This window comes from Homo sapiens, chromosome 19 (assembly GCF_000001405.40).
Source record: "Homo sapiens chromosome 19, GRCh38.p14 Primary Assembly".
NCBI lineage: Eukaryota > Metazoa > Chordata > Mammalia > Primates > Hominidae > Homo > Homo sapiens.
In genome coordinates, this window is record NC_000019.10 from 12,090,896 (window position 1) to 12,115,009 (window position 24,114).

At 42.4% G+C, this 24,114-nt stretch overlaps 3 pseudogenes across 7 annotated transcripts, besides 2 other annotated features; all 3 read left to right on the top strand.

Moving 5' to 3' along the window:
* Nucleotides 1,218-1,277: a silencer, noted in NCBI's record as "silent region_10142". NCBI's record gives its function as "represses an Ori minimal core promoter by ATAC-STARR-seq in GM12878 lymphoblastoid cells {active_cell/tissue: GM12878}" and the evidence as "EXISTENCE:reporter gene assay evidence [ECO:0000049][PMID:35858748]".
* Nucleotides 1,402-23,858, top strand: ZNF788P (zinc finger family member 788, pseudogene; annotated as a pseudogene). Of its 7 annotated transcripts, NR_171040.1 has the most exons (5): nt 1,402-1,575; nt 2,941-3,000; nt 19,410-19,536; nt 19,739-19,799; nt 20,351-23,858. The product of NR_171040.1 is annotated as a zinc finger family member 788, pseudogene, transcript variant 4 (transcript). The 7 variants fall into 7 exon arrangements; NR_171037.1 differs by lacking the exon at nt 19,739-19,799; NR_171041.1 differs by lacking the exon at nt 19,410-19,536.
* Nucleotides 1,588-1,817: a silencer, noted in NCBI's record as "silent region_10143". NCBI's record gives its function as "represses an Ori minimal core promoter by ATAC-STARR-seq in GM12878 lymphoblastoid cells {active_cell/tissue: GM12878}" and the evidence as "EXISTENCE:reporter gene assay evidence [ECO:0000049][PMID:35858748]".
* RSL24D1P8 (ribosomal L24 domain containing 1 pseudogene 8) lies at nt 5,485-6,214 on the top strand (annotated as a pseudogene).
* On the top strand, nt 15,602-15,719 carry RNA5SP467 (RNA, 5S ribosomal pseudogene 467; annotated as a pseudogene).
* Nucleotides 23,859-24,114: the final 256 nt, after the last annotated feature.

Here is a 24,114-nt window from a genome sequence, read left to right on the forward strand (position 1 = left end):
TTATATGTACATACAGAAGGAAAGCAGGGATTCTGCTAGTGTCTTATTCACACAGTGAGATTGTAGATGTTGGTCTGGTGGACGTGATCAGTGGGGGAGAGAAGTAGGTGAATAACCTGCAGGGGGCAGCAGAGCCCAAGACCAGCCTGGAGCCTGCAAAGGGAAGGAAAATGAGCTCCCTTGGGTGTTTCTGAGCAGCTCCAGGAGTGGATTCTGAGAAGCTGCAGAGCCCTGGAACACAGGAGACCCAAGTGCAGATGCATTTGGGGTGGCGGACAGGGGGCATGCAGAGGGGGAGGTGTTCTGTCATGTCTGAGGTTGGACCTCAGGAGCCTGGGGCCATTTGGAGGGCAGTGTTTTTGGTTTTGGCATGCATAGGGTCACTGGGTTCAGGCGGTAATTTGTATATATGAAGAAAATCTGTGAAGGTCAGTGTGCGAGAATTGTTTGGAACATCACCTGGTGAAAGGGTTTACGAAGTTGACAGTTTATTTAGGTTAGAAGCTTAAACTGACTCCAAGGGATAGTCTCCTGCTGTTGAAAATGAAGTTCTGGAAGGAGGGAGTGTTCCCATACTGTGAGGAGAGATGGTAGATGTGTGAGGAAGCTTTGTCCATGCCTCATCCCCTACTCCTGTCCCCCTGGAGGACATCTGTCTCTCTTTCCTGGTCTAGTCGTGCCTGGCCTGGTCTCGGTTCCCCTCCTGCTCTGAGGCAAACAGATCGCCCCAGCAGACACTGAGTCTGGAATTTCCTGCATACACTTGTGACCTGATGCAGGAGGAAGGAGCAGAGAAAGCCCATTGAGTGAAGGAGAGGTCAGTGCCCTTTCTAAAGTTCAGGAAAGAGGCCAGGCGCGGCGGCTCACGTAATCCCAGCACTTTGGGAGGCCGAGGCGGGCGGATCACCTGAGGTCAGGAGTTCGAGACCAGCCTGACTAACATGGTGAAACCCTGTCTCTACTAAAAATAACAAAAATTAGCTGGGCGTGGTGGCAGGTGCCTGTAATCCCAGCTACTCAGGAGGCTGAGGCAGGAAAATCGCTTGAACCCGGGAGACAGAGGTTGCAGTGGGCCGAGATCGCGCCATTGCACCTTCAGCCTGGGCGACAAGAGCGAAACTCCGTCTCAATTAGTTAATCAATCAACCAATCAATCATATATATATATGAAGTTCAAGAAAGTTTGGCGGAAATGCAGATATCCAAGGATCAGGGCACAGGGAGGGAGGTGGGCCTTAAAGAGGAAGTGAATAGAACCAGTCTGGCTCTGCAGGGCCCCGTTATCCCGGGCTTCTGCTGTCACTCAGGGCTCTGAAGGCGAGGCGGGGAGCACGGTCCAATCAGGAGCGCCGGGGCGGGGCCCTGCCAACTTTTTTCGGGGAAGGAGACGGCTGCAAGCCCGCGGTCTCTTGTTGCTGTGCTAACGACCGTTGGAACCCTCTTTCTGGCTCTTGGAACGCTCGGCTCTGAGAGGCTCCAGGTTTCTCCGCCAGAGCTCCTGTCGCTCTGTCAGTTGCGCTGTGTTCCTCTCTAGTCACAAGAGCCTTGGGGAAGACAGTTGGAAGCTCAGACATGGTGAGTGTGTGGGGCCAGGCGTCCTGAGACGGGGGCGAAGGGCTTCTTAGAACCTGCTGGAACCGGCTGTGGCGGGACCCGGGCCTCCCCGCGGCGACTCCGGGGTCTGTGGGGCTGGGCCGGCAGCCGGGACCCGGGGCATCCTGTCTCGTCCCTTCGCAGCGACCGCGGCCCCGGACCCGGAGCCCTCTTTGGGCAGCTCCGCGTCTTCAGCCGCGGGTCTCCTCAGATTGTGCTGGGCCATGAGGAGGATCATGGGGGGAATCCCGTCTCGGGTGTAGGGTTCTTGCGTCAGAAAAGCGGTGGTCTGTGGAGTCCCCAGTCGTCTTTTCTCCTCTTAAAAGTTAAAATGGCCGGGCGCGGTGGCTCACCTGAGGTCAGGAGTTCGAGACCAACCTAACATGGAGAAACCCCGTCTCTACTAAAAATACAAAATTAGCCTGGCGTGGTGGCGCGTGCTTGTAATCCCAGCTACTCGGGAGACTGAGGCAGGAGAATCGCTTGAACCCTGGAGGCGGAGGTTGCGGTGAGCCGAGATCCCGCCGTTGCACTCCAGCCTGGGCAACAAGAGTAAAACTCCGTCTAAAAAAAAAAAAAAAAAAAGAGGCACTGATAAAAATTCAAGAGTTTGTGCAAATGGGAATTCATGAATGAGAATCACGCAGTCATGGTTTGTGGTTTGTTACCAGAAACATTTGGAAATATTGCAGTTGAGTTGGATTTCAGTGCCCTTAGGTAGGACCTTAGTGCACTACACACACTTCAGTCTGTTTACTTGTTTAAATTTTTTCACGCTGTCCACATGGACTGGTTTCTCCCTCCATTTTCCAAATCTGTGGGATACAGGGTCTCACACCCTCCCCGCTATGACCCCAGCCTAACTCTTTAAAGGCTTGCGGTAGCATCTTACATTTTCAGTTCCCTTCCCACATTTCCAAACATTAACTCCTCTTCTCCAATTCACAGTATTTTCAACTATTTGTACTTTTTTTTTTTTTTAAAGATGGAGTCTCACTCTGTCACCCAGGCTGGAGTGCAATGGTGTGATCTCGGTCGCCGCAACCTCCGCCTTCCGGGTTCAAGCGATTCTCTTGCTTCAGCCTCCCAGAGTAGCTGGGATTAAAGGCGTCCACCACTATGCCCGGTTAATTTTTGTATTTTTAGTAGAGACAGGGTTTCACCAGGTTGGCCAGGCTGGTCTCAAACTCCTGACCCCAAGTGATCCACCCGCCTCGGCTTCCCAAAGTGCTGGGATTACAGGCGGGAGCCAGCGTGTCCGGCCTATTTGTTCTTTATTGTACAATATATTCATCCTTTCCTTCAAATAGATGAAGTATTTTAATGGTGTTTTTTTTTTTTTAACAGAGAAATATGATTCCACAGGACAATGAAAACCCACCCCAACAGGGTGAAGCAAATCAAAATGTATGTGGGGTACACAGTGCAGTGGGGAATGACACAATACAGTGTTGATGAGAAACTGTCATTGAGCACATCAGTGAGCAGGATAGCAGTGGGGTTTTGACAACACAAATGTCATATACCCACCAGTTTTGTTTTTGGTTTTGTTTGTTTTTGGTTTTGTTTTGAGACAGGATTTCGCTCTTGTTGCCCAGGCTGGAGTACAGTGGCTCGATCTCGGCCCACAGCTGCCTCTGCTTCCTGGGTTCAAGCAATTCTTCTGCCTCAGCCTCCTGAGTAGCTGTGGTTACAGGTGCGCGCTACCATTGCCAGCTGATTTTTGTATTTTTAGTAGAGATGGGGTTTCACCATGTTGGCCGGGCTTGTTTCGAACTCTTGACCTCAGATGCTCCACCTGCCTTGGCCTCCCAGAGTGCTGGAATTACAGGTGTGAACCACCACACCTGGCCCACCAGTCTTATTTATTTATTTATTTATTTATTTTTTGAGATGGAGTCTCACTCTGTTGCCCAGGCTGGAGTGCAATGGCGTGATCTTGGCTCACTGCAATCTCCGTCTCCCGGGTTCAAGTGATTCTCCTGCCTTAGCCTCCCAAGTAGCTGGGATTGCAGGTGCCTGCGACCACGCCTGGATAATTTTGTATTTTAGTAGAGTTGGGGTTTCACCACGTTGGTCAGGCTGGTCTTGAACTCCCGACCTCAGGTGATCTACCCGCCTTGACCTCCCAAAGTGCTGGGATTACAGGCGCGAACCACTGCGCCCAGTCTATACCTGCCAGTCTTACACAGAAGAGTTTCACTGCCCTAAAAATCCTTTGTGCTTTGTGTAGCCATCACACTCCCCTCCCTCTCTTCCACTAACCCCTTAATCCCTGGCACAACCGATGATTTTATTGCCTTTAGAGTTTTGCCTTGTCCAGAATGTCATGTACTTGGAATCATGTTGTAAGTAGCCATTTCGGCCTGTTTGTTTCACGTAAAAATACGCATTTAAAGTATCTTTGTGTCTATGTGGCTTGATAACAGATTTATTATTTCTTTATTTTACAAAATTTTAAAGAGATGGGGTCTCACTATGTTGCCCAATGTGGTTGGCGGATCACGAAGTCAGAAGTTCGAGACCAGCCTGGCCAACATAGTGAAACCCCGTCTCTATAAAAATACAAAAAAATTAGCTGGGCATGGTGGCAGGCACCTCTAATCCCACCTACTCAGGAGGCTGAGGCAGGAGAATCGCTTGAACCCGGGAGGCGGAGGTTGCAGTGAGCTGAGATCGCTCCATTGTACTCCAGCCTGGGTGACAAGAGTGAAACTCCATTTCAAAAAAATAAATAAAAAATAAAATAAAAAATAAAAATTACATTTGGCCAGGCATGGTGACTCATTCCTGTGATCTCAGCACTTTGGGATTTACCCTATACCTATTTGGGCACACAAATCCTGTAACTGGGGGTAACCCCCTTAGGGAGTGAGGAGAATCATGGAAGTTAGGAGTGGTCATTTATTACATATGTGGATAATAATAATGTTTTGTGTATATTAGGTTAAATAGTATAAACATTGTAATTGCTAGATTTACATAAATTGATAGGTTAGGATTGTGAAAGAAGGATTAGATGTTAAAATTGTGATTATTCAATTTGTTGTGAGCAATTGCCAAATAGGCCAAGATATTTCACAGCTGTGTTTGGTTAAGGTCCCCTTAACCAATCTCCCATAGTGTTGCAATCTCCCATAGTATGTTTAAGTCTGTTGATGAGTAGACTTGAAATAAAATGGAGATCAGTGCTAGTTTTTGTCATGTAAGTAGAATTACACTTGATATTAGTGAGACCCCTTGCATTACTTCAGAAGTGAAAGGGGGATAGTCCTAATTTTATCACCAGTGCTGTGATAATTATAAGGGATGCTATTTGGTTTAGGGCTTTTGTGATTGTTCATTGTCTGGAGTATATCATATTGTTGATGATAGCTACTAGGATCTACTAGTATTAGAGATGCAGTTGCTTATGTAAGGAAATACTTTGGTGGTGGCTTCTGTGGAGCAGGCACTTTTTCAGTTAGAATGGGGATAATGGCTAGCATATATCTAACCTCATTCAGATTAGGAGCCAGTGTAAGTCCATTATTATAATCAGAGTCTCTGTGAAAATAATATAAAGAGAATAGTGAGGAGATGTAGGGGATGAATTTGAATAGGAAGGATATAAACATTTTCAAGGTATGGGCTGGGTAGCTTATTTAGCTTACCCTACTGTAGGATATGGTGTCCTAGGTACCATGGAGAATCTGGAATTCTCAGGAGTGGGTTCAGTTCCTACAGTTCTAGTAATAAGAGGGTTTAAACCTCTATAATTTATTATATTAAAGTAACCATTCTATCATACATATTTTTTATGTTTGTGGTGGGATACTAGATATTAGGATGGGCATTGAGATATATGCACAGGACTCATGTCTGGGGTAAACAGTTTTTTCACAGAAGATGCTTAAGTTGGGCATTTGGTCGGTGGGGACCCACGCGGGTTCAACATGCATATCGAGAAGTGTTATTTCTGTTTGGGGCCCATCTACCCTGGCCATGGCATTATGTTCTTCTGCAACAATTGCAAGGTGTTCAGATTTTGTAAATCTAAATGTCATAAAAACTTTAAAAAGAAGTGCAATCCTCACAAGGTTAGGTGGACGAAAGCATTCCAGAAAGCAACTAGTAAAGAGCTTACAGTGGACAATTCATTTGAATTTGAAAAACATAGAAATGAACTTATCAAATATCAGCAAGAGCTATGGAATAAAACTATTGATGCAATGAAGAGAGTTGAAGAGATCAAACAGAAATGGCAAGCTAAATTTATAATGAACGGATTGAAGAAAAATAAAGAGCTACAGAAAGTTCAGGATATCAAAGAAGTCAAGCAAAACATCCATCTTATCCTAGCCCCTTTTGCAGGCAAAGAGAAGCAGTTGGAAGAGAAAATGGTATAGCATTTACAACAGGATGTGGACATGGAAGGTGCTTCTTAAAAATCTCTGTAACCATTTCTTTATGTACATTTGAAAAAGCCCCTTGGAGAATTAGAACTGCTAAATTCTTAGTTTATTTTTTACATAAGGTCACTCAAATGAAAAGTAATTAAAATATATTTTTCCTACATTACTGTCTACAAGACATCAGATATTACGGATGTTAGATTGCATCTCAGTGTTAAATTTTCACTGACAGATGTACTTATGTAAAAATCATGAAAATTCTGCTTATAACTATAGAAGTGAATTGTGGATTTAAATGGTTATGCTGTTTGGATAATGGCACGCGGCGCATTTCTGTAATAACTGATGGCAAAAATTCATGGCTAGTGATGTACAAAATAAAATATTAGTTAGAGTAAAATAATTCACTTAAAGTTATAGAAGGGGAATACAACAAGGAACTAACAATTGTATGACAGTGTCAAATATTATTTTGATTTTAGTATTTACTGTTTTGGTTTATTTGCATCTTAGAAGAGCATAATGGCATTGTTTGATGAAGCCTCATTATGCTGGACTGTTTTGACCTGTTTAATTGTTCTGATAGGTAGTTGTAGATATTGGGGATGAGAACTGAACAATCTTTGCCTGAAATGGCACTGCTCTCTAGAATTTCCACTTTGGAGAATACTCAGAACTTGTGATTCCTGGTAGAACAACTTTTTTTCTAGACTAGCAACTATCTAGAAGCAGAGGAATCTCATTGCCTTTTAAAATCTATTATGTGGTTTTCTTTTAAAAAGCTCTTGTTTTTGGAAAGTAGAATTTAGGGGAAAACATCTGTTCATTATTTGCATGTAAAACCAGTTTAAAAGTAAGAAAAAAAAGAACATGCATAAGTTGATCATACCAAAATCATGGGTATGATACCTGAAACCTGAATTCATAAGAATAAAATTGTTTTTTACTTTCTTTCTTTTTTTTTTTTTTTTTAGTTGGAGTCTTGCTCTGTCACCCAGGCTGGAGTGCAGTGGCGCAATCTCAGCTTACGGCAAGCTCCGCCTCCCGGGTTCATGCCATTCTCCTGCCTCAGCCTCCCGAGTAGCTAGGACTACAGGCGCCCGCCACCACACCCGGCTAATTTTTGTATTTTTAGTAGAGACAAGGTTTCACCGTGTTAGCCAGGATGGTCTCGATCTCTTGACCTCGTGATCTGCCCACCTCGGTCTCCCAAAGTGCTGGGATGACAGGCGTGAGCCACCATGTCCAGCTGTAACTTAGAACTATTTAAAGAGGCAAAGGCATAGGAGAATAAAGGAAGGAAGAAGTAACTCGTGGAATGTTGCGAAAGGAAAAACACGTTTAAGGAAGAGGAACAGGCTATGACTTAATGTTTGCTTGGACCAGTATAAGCATGCCAGGGCAAGTATTTAGGCTAACTTGTGGGAGTTAAGAATATAAAGTTGCCAAGACCAGCTTGGCTGGGGAGACGCTAACCCAGCAGCGCTAGAGGAATTAAAGACACCACACACACCAAAATATAGAGGTGTGAAGGGGGAAATCAGGGGTCTCACAGCCTTCAGAGCTGAGAGTCTTGAACAGAGATTTATCCACATATTTATTAACAGCAAACCAGTCATTAGCATTGTTTCTATAGATATTAAATTAACTAAAAGTATCCCTTATGGGAAACAAAGGGATGAGCCGAATTAAAGGAATAGGTTGGGCTAGTTAACTGCAGCAGGAGCATGTCCTTAAGGCACAGATAGCTCATGCTACTATTTGTGGCTTAAGAATGCTTTTAAGCGGTTTTCCGCCCTGGGCGGGCCAGGTGTTCCTTGCCCTCATTCTGGTAAACTCACAACCTTCCAGTGTGGGTGTTAGGGCCATTATGAACATGTTACAGTGCTGCAGAGATTTTGTTTATGGCCAGTTTTGGGGCCAGTTTATGGCCAGATTTTGGGGGGCCTGCTCCCAACATGTCCCCTTTCTTTGATTTGCAAATCAATAAAAGCAAGGGCAGCTTTGTCACAGTGAGCTACTTCTCGCAGGAGTCAGGATCCACGTCTGCAGACTATACAAGGACAACACAGATTAAAAGCACAGTCATCATTGAAATCACAGAACTTCCAAGTGTTTTTATCCATTTTCAGCTCCTTTTAAGCACTCCAGTTCTGGCATTAAGGTCAGCTGTGCCTGGGATGCTTTAAATATTTGTTCTTTTAATTTTAAATCCTTATATTAAGCTCCTACAATGCACCATATCATTTGAGGTTGAGGTGCCACTATACCGCCATGGTTCCAGATAATAGGAACTTTTGCCATACTTCTTATCATTTCTGCCATCTGACCGTTTTGTTCAGATCAGCTGAACATAGTGTGGCCGTGGCATGTAGACTGAGAGGTGCAGTTTAAGCTAAACATCCCCTTAGGGGACCAATTAATAATGATTCCATAGAAATTGTTGTGCAGCACCTCTGCCTGTTCCGCAATGCAATCTTCCTAAACAAGTACGTTCATTTTTTCTAACTGGGTCCGATCCTGTTTACAAATAGGTTTTTGAGGGCGGTATGCCTCAATTATAGGAGCAGATTTATTACGGTAAATACTGAGATTAGAAAGCATGTGTAACTGTGTCATAGAGTGATTGCATCCAGGCATTATTACCAGTCAAGATTGATAAATATGCCCAGTAAGTATAATCATTCTCTGTGTCAGCCCTTATTGAAGGAATACTCAAGGTAGTGGTGATAACTGCTGTCATAGCTACCATTAAATTATTCATTGTGACTGGTTGTCCCGCTTTCCTCAGGTTTTCTTCCGCCATCTGTGACAGCTTCTTGATCTGTCCCCAGGTGGGTGGCTGTGTTCGATGGGTGTTGCTCGTGACAGTTGGGGTCCTCCTCAGCGTCAGTCTCTACATGGCTGCAACCGGGGAGTCCTTGGGATCCTCTCAGAGTCTCTTCCTCAGCATCTGGCTCATGATAAGGTTTCAGGTGTCTTGATAGTACCCAAATCGGCTATTGATTTTGGTCTAGAGAAACACAAGCATAATCTCTACTCCAAGTTATTATTTTACCTATTTCCCAACTTTTTGTTACTGAATATCTCCACCAAATCAGTTGTTCTGCTTCTTTCTTTGCAGCTGGTTTCTGTAGATGCTGTTCAGTTGCTGATAACATCTGGCCTTTGGGCAGGTTCAAAACATTTAATGTTAATAATGCTACGTTCAGTTGTATCTGTGGGGTTCCATATTCTCTATTTCCCCCTTTCTGCTTTTGCAACTGCTGTTTTAGGGAAAGATTCATTCTTTCCACTATGGCTTGTCCTTGAATTGTATGGGATATCAGTAATGTGTTTAATATTCCACATAGAGAAAAATGTAGCTAGAGCTTGGCTAGTATAGCCTGGGGCATTATCTGTTTTAATAGAAGCTGGAATGCCCATCACTGCAAAACACTGCAAAAGATGACGTTTAACACAAGCAGAAGACTCTCCTGTTGGCATGTAGCCCAGACAAAGTGAGAAAAGGTGTCCACACATACATGTGGGCACCAAACGAGGGAATATGTGTGACATCTATTTGCCAAAGAGAGTTAGGTTCCAATCCTTGAGGATTAAATCCTCCTGTAAAAGATGAGGAATGTACCATTTGGCAAGTTGGCATCGCTGGATAATAGCTTTAGCTTCTTTCCAGGTAATGCTGTATCTGTGTTTGAGGCCAGAGGCATTAACATGGGTTAAATTGTGAAAGTGTCTAGCATTAGATATTGCATTAGCAACTAGGCGATCAGCCATTTGATTCCCTTCAATCAAAGGTCTTGGAAGAGGTGTATGAGCCCTAATGTGAGTGATGTAAAAAGGGTGCATTCTACTTCTAACTGCTGTTTGCAACTGGGTAAATAAAGTAATCAGTTGTTCATCTGTATGAAATCGTAACTGCGCATTTTCAATTAACTGTGTGGAATGAACCACGTATGAAGAATCAGAAATCACATTAATAGACATATCAAAAGCAGTCAATACCTCAGTTACAGCTACAAGCTCTTGCTTTTTGAGCTGAAGTATAGGGCGTCTGGAAAACTTTACTTTTTGAGCCAGAATAAGAAGCTTTACCATTACTAGACCCGTCTGTAAAACAATGAAAATGCTTAGCAGGCTGCAGGTTGTTTACTGCAAGAATTGTAAATGCAAACCATTCACAGTTTTGCTCAGCTAAATGGATAGTAAAGAAACAGTCTTTCAAATATATGACTATTAAAGGCCAATTTTTTGGAATTATAGTAGGAGAAGGCAGTCCTGGCTGTAATGCTCCCATAGGTTGTATAACTGAATTGATGGCTCTTAAGTCAGTTAACATTCTCCATTTACCTGATTTTTTTCTTAATTATGAAAACTGGAGAATTCCAAGGGGAAAATGTTGGAGCTATGTGTCCATTTTGTAATTGTTCAATGACTAATTTCTCTAAAGCCTCCAGTTTCTCTTTACTTAGCGGCCATTGTTCTACCAAATTGGCTTATCTGTTAACCATTTTAAAGGTATAGGTTCTGGAGGCTTGACAATGGCCACCATCAAAAATAATACCCTAATCTTTGGCAGGAACTTTCTTTCTGCTTGAAGCAGTTCTTTCAAACCTTGCAAATTTTTTTCTAGTCCCATACCAGGGACATACCCCATTTCATGCATTGTATGTTGACTTTGAGGGCTATATAATTGTTCTGGAATTAGAACTTGTGCTCCCCATTGTCATAAATCTCTCCCCCATAAATTTACAGGTACAGAAGTTATAATTGGTTGAATAGTACCAGGTTGTCCATCAGGCCCTTCACAATGCAAAATATAACTACTTTGATATACTTTAGGGGCTTTACCAACTCCAACTATGTTAAATTGAGCAGGTTGAATTGGCCACGTGGACGGCCAGTGCTGTAGAGAAATGACTGAAATGTCTGCTCCTGTATCTACCAAACCTTTAAATTTCTTTCCCTGAATAGTTATTTTCACAGGTAGGATGTTTATCAGTAATTTGATTTACCCAATAAGCTGCTTTGCCTTGTTTATTTGTGCTTCCAAATCCTCCTGTTCGTTTAATTTCACTTTTCCCCATTTCCACATACGACACAATCAGGAGCTGTGCTATGTGCGCTCTCCTGGCTCTGCTTTCCAGGGAACAGAAGTAGATACAACAATTTGAATTTCCCATTATAATCTGAATCAGTGTCTCCTGTATGTATTTGTACGTCTTTTAAACTTAAACTAGACCTTCCTAAAAGTAATCCTATTGTCCCTGCTGGCAAGGGTCCGCAGACTCCTGTTGGGACCTTTTGCGGGGGTTCCCCAGGCAGAAGGCTCACAGCTTTTGTGCAGCATAAATCTACTGCAGCACTACTGGCTGTGGGGGGGTGGACAGACATTGTACAGGGGTGAGGGAATGGCCTGAGCTAGAAATGCCCCGGTTTAGAATGGGGCCCTCATGGCGTTTCCCGAAATCGGGTTCCCTTCTTTATCAAACTTAGGATGACATTGGTTAACCCAATGTTTTCCTTTTTTACATTTTGGACATATTTCAGAATCAGCAGTTTTCTTTTCTCCCCATCTGGCGGCCTGACTCGCTGATTTTTTTCTACATTCTTTTTTAGTATGACCATGCTTCCCACAGTTAAAACAAGCTCCAGGAAGTGGAGTATTTCCTTTATCCACTCTCAGTCCTGCCATTGCCTATGCCAACAAAGTAGCTTTATGTAGATTATCTCTGATATCATCACAGGCCTTGATAAAATCAACTAAATGTGCTTTCCCTCTGATAGGTCACAGAGCAGCCTGGCAATCGGGATTAGCATTGTCGAAAGCTAATAACTGCAACACTATATCCTGAGCAGCCAAATCTGCAATCATCTTTTTAAGAGACTCCTGTAACTGAGCTATAAAGTCAACGTATGGTTCTTTGGATCCCTGTTTTATAGCACTAAAGGAAGGGTATTGTTCTCTACCTGAAGTGATTTTTTCCCAAGCTCTAATGCACACTCCTCTAAGCTGTTCTATGGCATCATCCCGCATGACCAGTTGTGCATCTAAACCAGCCCAGCCTCCAACCCCCAAAAGTTGGTCTGCAGTTACATTAATTTGAGTTTGGGCCTGGGCATTGCGAGCAGCCTGAATGGAAGCTTCATCTGCCCACCAAATTTTAAATTTTAAGAACCGAGCAGGAGTTAGACAAGCTCGAGTAAGAGCATCCCAGTCAGTAGGTATCATCCAACTGGAAACAGCAACATTCTTTAACAGTCCCATTATAAAAGGAGAACCTGGTCCATACTGATGTATAGCTTTTTAAAATTCTTTGAGTAATTTAAAAGGAAAAGGCTCAAATGTAGCTGTAATATTTCCCTGTTGATCTTGGGGGGTGTATTCATTCTAACAGGGAACTGCCAAGCCTCTGTATCACCCTCTCCTCTAGCTTGCTGAATTCCTGCCTGAATAGAACTAAGAGTGGTCACTCGGCGCTGCTCAAACAGTCACTGGGGCAACTACTTTTCGCCCAGTGTCCTCCAGAAAAGAAAGATCTGGAGGGTCTTTTTCTTGAAAATAATAAGGAGGGGGTACAGAAGGGTAGGGATGAATCTCTCCCTCCTTTCCTGCTTTAGCTTTAACTGGCAAATAAACCTCGTCTGTAACCTCTTCTGTTACTTCATTATTCACTCATTCCTCCTCATCATCAGTGTGAAGAAGTTCCAAGGTGAAACGAACCAGACCCCATACTTGTCCCATTGTTACCCTGAGGCTTCCGAGCTCCCCTTCTTACTCACCATGGGGATTGCTTTAAGAGTACTCGGGTGTCCTCCAGCTAGTTTTCCGTTCCAACCATTGCTCTGGCGACCCTTCAACCTGCATTCAAGCCCCCATGAATGGACGCCACTTGCCAAGACCAGCTCAGTCGGGGAGACCCTAACCCAGCGGCGCTAGAGGAATTAAAGACACCACACACACCGAAATATAGAGGTGTGAAGTGGGAAATCAGGGGTCTCACAGCCTTCAGAGGTGAGAGCCCCAAACAGAGATTTACCCACATATTTATTAACAGCAAACCAGTCATTAGCATTGTTTCTATAGATATTAAATTAACTAAAAATATCCATTATGGGAAACAAAGGGATGGGCCAAATTAAAGGAATAGGTTGGGCTAGTTAACTGCAGCAGGAGCATGTCCTTAAGGCACAGATAGCTCATGCTGTTATTTGTGGCTTAAGAATGCCTTTAAGCGGTTTTCCGCCCTGGGTGGGCCAGGCGTTCCTTGCCCTCATTCCAGTAAACCCACAACCTTCCAGTGTGGGCGTTAGGGCCATTATGAACATGTTACAGTGTTGCAGAGATTTTGTTTATGGCCAGTTTTGGGGCCAGTTTATGGCCAGATTTTGGGGGGCCTGCTCCCAACATAAAGTATATTGATGTTTTTTTTATTACAGCTAGTATATATTTAAGAATGTTAGTATAGGATTTTGAATAAATTTTGTTTTTAAGAGAAGTTATAATTTAATTAGATGGGGAGGAAAGTCTTTGAAGAGGAACCTCTACTTTACTTTTTATAAAGTGATTCTCCTGCTCAGTCTCCCCAGTAGCTGGGATTACAGGCATGTGCCACCACGCCTGGCTAATTCTGTGTTTTTAGTAGAGACAGGGTTTCTCCATGTTGTTCAGGGTGGTCTCAAACTCCTTACTTCAGATGATCTGCCCACCTCAGCCTCCCAAAGTGCTGGGATTACAGGCGTGAGCCACCATGCCCAGCCTGTAGTGGTTCTTTAATGAGCAGCTTTATTGCTTTGGCAAAAGGTTGGAATAATCCATATGAGCCTATGATGTTAGGTCCCTTACAGAGTTGTATGTAACCTAAACTATTCATTCAACAAATGTTAAGATTGCTGTAGTGAGAATGGTGGGAAATAAGTAGGAGAAGGTTAATTATAAACTTATTGTTAAGAAGAAGGATTAGTTTACTTTGACTAGTACGTCTTAGTCAAAATCATTTTGAGGTTATATTTTGCTCTGAGGTCACCTCAACTAAAATTTTTAGTTCATTGGATACAATGTTAATACCTGTTAAGTTAGGTTAATTATTGGATATATGGACTAATAAATTTAAGTTCCGTAGAGTCTTCTCATCATATTTAAGTATTTCTGCCTCTTCACAGATAGGTCAATTGCACTGATTAAGAGACAGCTAAACCCTCATGTGACCAGTCTTGCAAGTCTCTGTTTCGGGAACAAATGATTATGCTATGCCTGTACAGTCAAGATACTGGCACCATTAAACATGTCACTGGGCAGGCAGTGCCAGTTTTTGGTGATGTTTTTGGTAAACAGGCAGGGTTTGGTTTTGCTGAGTTCCTTTTATTTTTTAAAATCTTTCTTTAGTGCTTGCCTTTGTTGGCTTAACAATTTGGAGAAAATAATTAGTTTATAGGTTTGCTTAGTTATATTGAGTTTTGTTAACTGTCAGTGGATCATCCAAATATGATGGTAACTATGCATTTTTATACATATTTTATTTATTTATTTATTTATTTATTTATTTGAGACGAAGTTTCACTCTTGTTGCCCAGGCTGGAGTGCAGTGGCGCCATCTTGGCTCACTGCAACCTCTGCCTCCCGGGTTCAAGCAATTCTCCTGCCTCAGCCTCCCAAGTAGCTGGGATTACAGGCATGAGCCACCATGCCCAGCTAATTATGTATTTTTACTAGAGATGGGGTTTCACCATGTTGGTCAGGCTGGTCTCGAGCACTTGACCTCAGGTGATCCGCTTGCCTCAGCCTCCCAAAGTGCTGGGATTACAGGCGTGAGACACTGTGCCCAGCCTTTATACATATTTTATAGTAGGTTGTAGAAGTTCCCTCGTATTCCTGATTATTTCTATTTTGAAGGAGTGTTGAGGTTTGTCACTTTTTTTTTGCATGTGTTTAGATTGTGGTTTTTGATGTTGATTCTGTAACTACTGTGTATTGCATAAGTTGATTTTTGAAATGTAAGCAATGTTGCTTCCATGAATTAAATTCCACTTTGTCATGGAGTACAGATGTTGTCATATATGGGTGGATTCTCTTTGCAATTATATTGCTCCGGCTTTGTGTGTTAACATTTAAAGAGATATTCATGTATAGTATTATAGTCTAGCATTATAATATGCATATATATACACATTTATATACATGCACACATAAAGTATATATAGTATATAGTCTAGTTATGATAGATAACATAAATATTATATATAACTTGTAATGTGGTATATAGCTGTTGTATATAAATGGCATTATAGTAAACAACTTAATGAATTATGACATTATAGTATATAAAATTGATATAGTTTTAGTCTCCAGTGTATAGTGGGTTTCATTTCTATGTCAGCCTGCAGAATTATTCAAATACCACATTCTCATCCTCCCACGGGAACAAAGGAAAATCTTACCCTCTTGATGCTACAGTGTGCCATTCAAAAATATTCGTGATCATGGATTTAGGAAAGATTCTATGATATGACAATACAAGCACTAGGAACAAAGAAAAAGTATGTAATTGAGACTGCATTGAAATTTTAAACTTTTTTGTGTTTCAAAGGACACCACACCAGGAAGACATTGAAAAGCATATAGCCATGCCAGCCTGAATGCACCTGATCTTTTTTGATCTCAGTTCCTGCCAGGATTGGGTCTGGTTATTACTTATATGAGAGTAATACTGGGAATACTGAGTGCTGTACACTTTAAAAAAAGAAAAGGGGCCGAGCGCTGTGGCTTATACCTGTAATCCCAGCACTTTGGGAGGCTGACGCGGGAGCTCAGGAGTTCAAGACTGGCCTCAAAAACACGGTAAACCCCATGTCTACCAAAAATACAAAAAATTACCTGGGAGTGGTGGTGCACGCCTTTGGTCCCAGCTACTCATGAGGCTGAGGTAGGAGGATCATTTGAGCCTGGAAGGTGGAAGTTGCAGTGAGCTGAGATGATGCCACTACACCCCACCCTGGGCGACAGAGCGAGACTCTGTCTCAAAACAAGGTAGAGAAACTTGATGAATTATCATGGGTTGAGGAAATGGAACTTGATTGAATATCAAGTTTTGGGGGGATTCTCCCTGAACTCCCTTAGAAGGATTTTTGATGTAACTGGGCTCTGCAGGAGAAGGACAAAACGGGTCAAGAAGAGGGCCTAAGCAGCCTGACTCATGTTTGGTCAAGGAAGGAAGAAGTCCGTAAGACTCCCGTAGCTGGCTCTTTTTAGGAAGGACAATCCCTAAATATTTGATTTCCTCGCTATATTCCAAAATACCCGCTTTCCCTCTCTAAAGGACATCTTCAATTATGGATCCACCCTGACATATTTGAAAGAGCTGCAGTATTTTAATTGATTTTTATATTCCCACAGAGCCATATATGACTCTCTTTAAAATTTTATTATGTTGGCTGGGTCCATTGGCTCACGCCTGTAATTCCAGCATTTTGGGAGGCCAAGGCGGGCGGATCATGAGGTCAGGAGATCAAGACCATTCTGGCTAATATGGTGAAACCCCATCACTACTAAAAATATAAAAAAAAATTAGCTGGGTGTGGTGGCAGGTGCCTGTAGTCCTAGCTACTTGTGAGACTGAGGCAGGAGAATGGGTGTGAACTTGGGAGGCGGCGCTTGCAGTGAGCCGAGATCATGCCATTGTACTGTAGCCTGGGCAACAAGAGCAAAACTCCATTTCAATAAAACAAAACAAAAAAACCCACAAAAATTAGCTGGGCATGGTCGTGGGCACCTATAATCCCAGCTACTCGGGAGGCTGAGGCAGGAGAATTGCTTGAACCCAGGAGGTGGAGGTTGCAATGAGCCAAGATTGTGCCATTGCACTCCAGCCTGGGTGACAGAGCAAGACTCTGACTCAAAAAAAAAATAAGTACACCTAATAATTCCTGATGTTAAGCACCTTTTTTATGTGTGTTGTGGTCATTTGGATTTATCTTGGAGAAATGTTATTGGACTACATTGCCTATCTTTTTTTTTTTTTTTTTTTTTTGAGACAGAGTCTCGCTGTCTTGCCTCGGCTGGAGCACAATGGCATGATCCTGGCTCACTGCAGCTTCTGCCTCCCAAGGGGCTGGGATTATGGGTGTCTACCACCACCCCCAGCTAATTTTTGTATTTTTAGTGTAGATGAGGTTTCACCGTGTTGCCAGGCTGGTCTCGAACTACTGACCTCAAGTGATCTGCCCGCCTCGGCCTCCCAAAGAGCTGGGATTAAGCTGTGAGCCACTGCACCCAGCCCATTGCCCATGTTTTGATCAAGTAGTTTTATACTTGGGACAGTAATTTGTTTATTTATTATTTTTTTTGAGACGGAGTCTCACTCTGTTGCCGGGCTAGGGTGCAGTGGCCCAATCTCGGCTCACTGCAACCTCTGCCTCCCAGGTTCAAGCAATTATCCTGCCTCAGCCTCCCGAGTAGCTGGAACCCTGGGTGTGTGCCACCACACCCAGCTAATTTTTTGTATTTTTAGTAGAGACAGGGTTTCACTGTGTTAACCAGGCTGGTCTCGATCTCCTGACCTCATGATCCACCTGCCTCGGCCTCCCAAAGTGAATTTATTATTTTTAATTACTATAAAATAAAATTACATTTTATTAGCTTAAGCAATTTTAAGTGTACAGTTTACTTAGACAGCTCTGTGTAACTTATCTAAGATGAATCATAATCTGTTTTGTGTGTGACTACCATTGTGTAATTTCTATAGCATCGTGAATTTTCATGTATGAAGCATGGGACAGGGTGTTATTTTCTAAGATTAAATAATATTTCATTGTATGTAGATGCCTACCACATTTTTGTTATGCATACAACCATCAGTGGACATGTGGATGGATCCAGCTCTTGGCTATTGTCAACAGTGGTTTTCAAATATGTCTCCATGATCTGGTTTTCTACTTTTTTTTTTTTTAATTCAGTATAAATAGACCTACAAGTCAGCTATTGGAAGATATGGTAATTTTGTTTGTTTGTTTGTTTTTTTTGAGACTGAGTCTCACTGTCGCCCAGGCTGGATGGAGTGCAGTGGCGCAATCTTGGCTCACTGCAACCTCCGCCTCCCAGATTCCAGCAATTCTCCTGCCTCAGCCTCCCAAGTAGCTGGGATTACAGATGTGTGCCACCACACCCGGCTAATTTTTGTACTTTTAGTAGAGACGGGGTTTTGCCATTTTTGCCAGGCTGGTCCCAAACCCCTGACCTCAGGTGATCTGCCCTCCTTGGCCTCCCAAAGTACTGGGATTACAGGCATGAGCCACCATTCCTGGCCATGATTTTGTTATTTTTAAAGGCACTATCATACTATTTTCCAGAAGGGCTGAGCCATTTATAATCCTTGGGACAGAGCACATGGGTTGCCTTTTCCCTCTGTGAATGGTGTCCTCTCATAAACAAAAGTTTGTTTTGTTTTTGTTTTCAGACAGAGTCTCGCTCTGTCTCCATGCTAGAGTACAGTGGCACGATCTCAGCTCACTGCAACCTCCACCTCCTGGGTTCAAGTGATTCTCGTGCCTCAGTCTCCCGAGTAGCTGGTGTTACAGGTACGTTCCACCACACCCAGCTAATTTTCTTATTTTTAGTAGAGACGGGTTTCACCATGTTGCCCAGGCTGGTCTCAAACTCCTGGCTTCAAGTGATTTACTCGCCTCAGCCTGCGATAGTGCTGGGATTACAGGCATGAACCACCACGCCTGTTCACACAAACGTTTTTATGTTTGATAAATATTTGCCTTTTTGTCACGATTTGGCACCCTGGGGTTTTTACCTCTCAATCTTGTTGACATTCAGCTTTGAGCAATTCAGTTACAATTTAGGCTTTACTACCCAAGCAGAGATTCCCAGAATCGTTTCTTCTCATGAGTTTGGTTTTTTTTTAGTTATTTATAACTGTCTTATTAGTTAGATTGATGGGCCCCTCGCAAAATCCAGTTTTTTGTTTGTTTCTGTTGCTGGTATTTAGAACGAAATCTACTTTCTAGATATCATGAAAGTTTAAACTTGGGAACAGACATTTTCAAGGATACACAGCCTCAAGACTCCTCATGTTAACTTTTTTCTGCATGCGAATTTACAGGACTTTGTTACAGCAGCTACTACAGATCCACACTACAAATAGACATTAGGGGCAGCCCAGAAAGCACATCTTTCTGTGTGGATTCACCGGAAACTCATACATTTTCCTATTCTGCTGTTCCTTTACCCCATGGTTAAATTGTAGCATCGGAATTGCTTTATGGAAGAAAGTGAGTATAGGCAGCGTAAGAGGTCTGATGACCAAGTCATGAAATCTTTGGAGTCCATAGCATCATGAGAACTTCTTGGGAATAGGGTATAGATGCCCAGTGATATCAGTCTCACCCATCCTTCTCTACACATATGGGATGTTTTAGGACTCAGTGGCCTTTGAGGATGTGGCTGTGAACTTCACCCCAGACGAGTGGGCTTTGCTGGATCCTTCCCAAAAGAATCTCTACCGAGAAGTGATGCAAGAAACCTTGAGGAACTTGGCCTCTATAGGTAACGGTGACAATATTACTCCCTCAGTGAATTAGAGAAGTGTTTCTCATTCATCAGTGCTGTTGAGTAATTTGGAATATGGACAGGCAATACTTTGATGAGTAAGTGAGGCACGGTTGTAGTGTATCATGAACATAGAATCAAATAATCATTTCATAATTTTATACTAATCCAGGCCTGTGTATCTGCGCCTGTATTTTAGGGAAGAAATGGAAAGACCAGAACATTGAAAATGAGTACAAAAATCCCAGGAGCAACCTAAGGTAATCTGCACTCACAGGACAAAGCAGTGTCTCTAGAAAATTTTAGAGTGGGAGGAAATGTTAAAAAGAAGGGAACAAACAAAAAAGCTGAGTTCCATTATATTTATTCTTAGAATATTTTCTCTAAAAACATGCATTTATTTGTGACACAGGCTGGACACCATGGCTTATGCCTATAATCAACCCTTTGAGAGGTTCAGACCAGAGGATTGCATGAGCCCAGGAGTCTGAGGCTGCACTGAGCCATGATGACATCATTAGACTGTAGCCTGGGCAACAGGGCAAGATTCTCAGAAACAAAATTAAAAGACAAAGAGTTTTTGTATGTGTACAGTAGTTTACATGGAAATCGTATTAAGCTCCATATATTTTTTGATAATAGATACGGCTGGGCCATCTGGTAGACCATGTGGTCCATTCATGTTCAAACAATTCAGACAGAGTAGAAAGCCTACACTTTGCTGGATAATGTTAAAAATGCAAGTGTAAGACTTGTGAATGAATATAAAATCACTGATAAACCCATTAAATGTGCTTTTCATTTTTCACAGAGGTCTTATGGAAGAGAGACTCTTTGAAAGTGAAGGTCATCAGCATGGAGAAATTTTGACCCAGGTTCTGGATGACATGCTGAAGAAGAAAACTGGAGTAGAATCATGTGAAAGGAATGTGTGTGAGGTCAGCATGGGTCATTTATCCCTTAATAAGCACACCAGAGCTGACACTGGACACAAGCCATATGAGTATCAGGAATATGGACAGACGCCATATAAATGTACATACTGTAAGAAAGCCTTCAGCTGTCTCCCCTACTTTTGCAGACATGTAATTGCACACACTGGAGAAAAACCCTATGAATGTAAGGATTCTGCGAAGACATTTAGTTTTTCCATTTATTTTCATAGTCATAAAAGAGCTCACTCTGGAGGGAACCCCTATGAATGTAAACAATCTGGAAAACCCTTTGGATGCGCCTCAGAACTTCAAATGCATGCAAGGACTCAGTGTGGAGAAACCTTACAAATGTAAGAAATGTGAAAAAGCATTTAATAACTTATCTTCCTTTCAAATACATGAAAGAATGCACAGAGGAGGGAAGTATCATGCCTGTAAGGGTTCTGGGAATACATACCGTTTTTCTGGTTTCTATCATAGACATAAAATGCCTCATGCTGGCGGGAAGTTTTATGGATGTAAGAAATGTGGGAAAGCCTTTATTAGTTTCTGTGCCTTTCGATACCATCAAAGGACTCACACTAAAGAGAAACCCTATGCGTGTAAACAATGTGGGAAAGCCTATATTTCTTACACTTCTTTTCAATATCATCAGTTGAATCACACTGGAGCGAAATGCTATGAGTGTAAGCAGTGTGGCAAAGGCTTCGATTTGCCCAATTCCATTCGATATCATGAAATGACTCACACTGGGGAGAAACCCCATGAATGTAAGCAATGTGGGAAAACTTTCAGATGTGCCTCAAGCCTCCGAATACATGGAAGGACTCACACTGGGGAGAAACCCTATGAATGTAAACAGTGTGGTAAAGTCTCTCGTTATTGGAGCGGCCTTCAGGTACATGAAGTAACTCATATTGGAAAAAAGCTTTATGAATGTAAGGAATGTGGGAAATCATACTATAGTTCTGGTTCCTTTCTAAATCATAAAAGGATCCACACCAGGGAGAAGTCTTATGAATGCAAGGAATGTGGGAAAGCATTTGGTAATCCCATATCCTTTCAAAAACATGAAGGGAGTCACAGAAAATGGAAGCCTTATGAATGTAAGGAATGTGGGAAGGTATTCAGTTTTTCCAGTTCCCTTCGGAGACATGAAAGGACACACACTGAAAAACTCTGTGAATGTAAACAGCATGGGAAAGGATTTTTTCATAGAAGCTGTCCTAGACACATGAAGATAGACACTGGAGAGATACTTCATAAACGTAAGATACGTGGAAAAGTCTTTCATTCTCCTAGTTCATTTCAAACATGTGAAAGATCTCACACTAGAGAAAAACGCTATAAATGCAAGCAATGTGGAAAACCCTTCATTTATTTCAATGCCTTTCAACGTCATCAAAGGAGCCACACTGGAGAGAACCCCTATGAGTGTAAGCAATGTGGGAAAGCCTGTATTTCTTCCACTGCTTTTCAGTGTCGTGAATTGAGTCACACTGGAGCAAAACGCTATAAGTGTAAGCAGTGTGGCAAAGGCTTCAATTTGCCCAGTTCCATTCGATATCATGAAATGACTCACACTGGAGAGAAACCCTATGAATGTAAGCAATGTGGGAGAGCTTTCAGATCTGCCTCACACCTACGAACACATGAAAGGACTCACATTGGGGAGAAACCCTATGAATGTAAACAGTGTGGTAAAGTCTATCGTTACTGGAGTGGCCTTCGAATACATGGACTAACTCATATTGGAAAAAAGCCTTATGAATTTAATGACCGTGGGAAATCATTCTATAGTTCCAATTTCTTTCTAAATCATAAAAGGGTCCACACTAGAGTGAAGACATATGAATGCAAGGAATGTGGGAAAGCATTTGATAATCCTACATCCTTTCAAAAACATGAAGGGAGTCACAGAAAAGGGAAGTCTTATGAATGTAAGGAATGTGGGAAGGTATTCAGTTTTTCCCGTTCCTTTCGTAGATATGAAAGGGCACACACTGGCGAAAAGCCCTGTGAATAAACAATGTGGGAAAGGATTTTTCATATCTTCTGTGGAGCTTTGAATGCATGAAAAGACAGACTACAGAGAAATGCTAAATGTAAGGCGTGTATAAAAGCATTTAGTAATTTCTCTTCCTTGCTTATACATGGAAGGATGCACACTGGAGAGAAGCCATATGAATGTAAGAATTGTGGGAAAGCCTTCACATCTGCCAAGAGCCTTCAAAATCATGGAAGGACACACACCGGAGAGAAACCATGTGAATGCAAGCAATGTGGCAAAGCTTTCATTTGTTCCAGTTCCTGTCAGAGACATGAAGAGACACATTCTGTTAATATGCATTCAGTTATCCTAATTCCTTTGAAACACAGAAAAAGAGTAGGGAAAGGACCTCTGAGATAACTGTTTTCTGAGTTGAGAAGAGCTACTTGTGAATGGACAATTAAATCTAGATGTATTTAGATCTGATACAATTCATCTGTAGCCAACCTTTTTTTAAATTTTTTTATTTTTTAGATGGAGTCTTGCTCTGTCGCCCAGACTGGAGTGCAGTGGCACGATCTTGGCTCACTGCAACCTCCGCCTCCTGGGTTTAAGCAATTCTCCTGCCTCAGCCTCCCAAGTAGCTGGGATTACAGGTAACCGCCATCACGCCTGGCTAATTTTAGAGATGGAGTTTCACCATGTTGGCCAGGCTGGTCTCAAACTCCTGACCTCAAGTGATCCACCCACCTCGGCCTCCCAAAGTGCTGGGATTACAGGCGTGAGCCACTGCGCCCTGCCACCTATAGCCAATCTTAATGAGATTTCATAGGCACAGACAAGGAAGGTTATCAGTCACATATTAGAGGCACCACACAGGGAGAGCAGTGTGTGGCCACATGCTTCAGCCCATTTTTTCTGATTCTCTTGCTTGCAAATTAAGAGTATTCTCCAAATCACTTGACTTTCCTTTTCTCAGAGTTATAGTTCTCCAGAGATGTCACCAGATGATTCACATTAAAGGTACATTTCCAGTTGACTTTTTTATTTCAGATATTAGTAAATGATTACCAGAGAACTAATTCAAACTGTCATGGTTGGAAATACTCTGATGCTCAACTCCCTAATCTATAGAGTGAGTTAAGGTCTATACTCTTTTGCAAGCATTGTTCTAGTGGCAGTGACCCTGTTCATGATTCAGCCTGACATTTACTATGCTGCCCTGAAAACCAACTAGATGGGAGCTTGTTTCTCTCTGCATTGTGTAGTGAGTGGTGTCACCCAGGACTTTCATGTGAGAAAAAGCACCTTGCTTTTAATCTGGGAATTTTGAGTGTTTTTTGTAATGCCTCAGTTTATTCTTATTTATGGTTGATTATATGTGATTTAGAACACTTGCTATTTATGTCTGATCCCACAAATCAGCACTCACTTTATTTGCAAAGCACCAAATTTCGTGTAAGAGGTGTAGTAATTGGGAATGTGAAGCTAAGTTACATTCTTTCTCTTTATTTACATGTCTCCCTTTCTATAGGCCTCTTTTTCCCCCCCTTTTTGAGACGGAGTCTCTGTCGCCAGGCTGGAGTGCAGTGGCGCAATCTCAGCTCACTGCAACCTCCGACTCCCTGGTTCAAGCAATTCTCCTGCCTC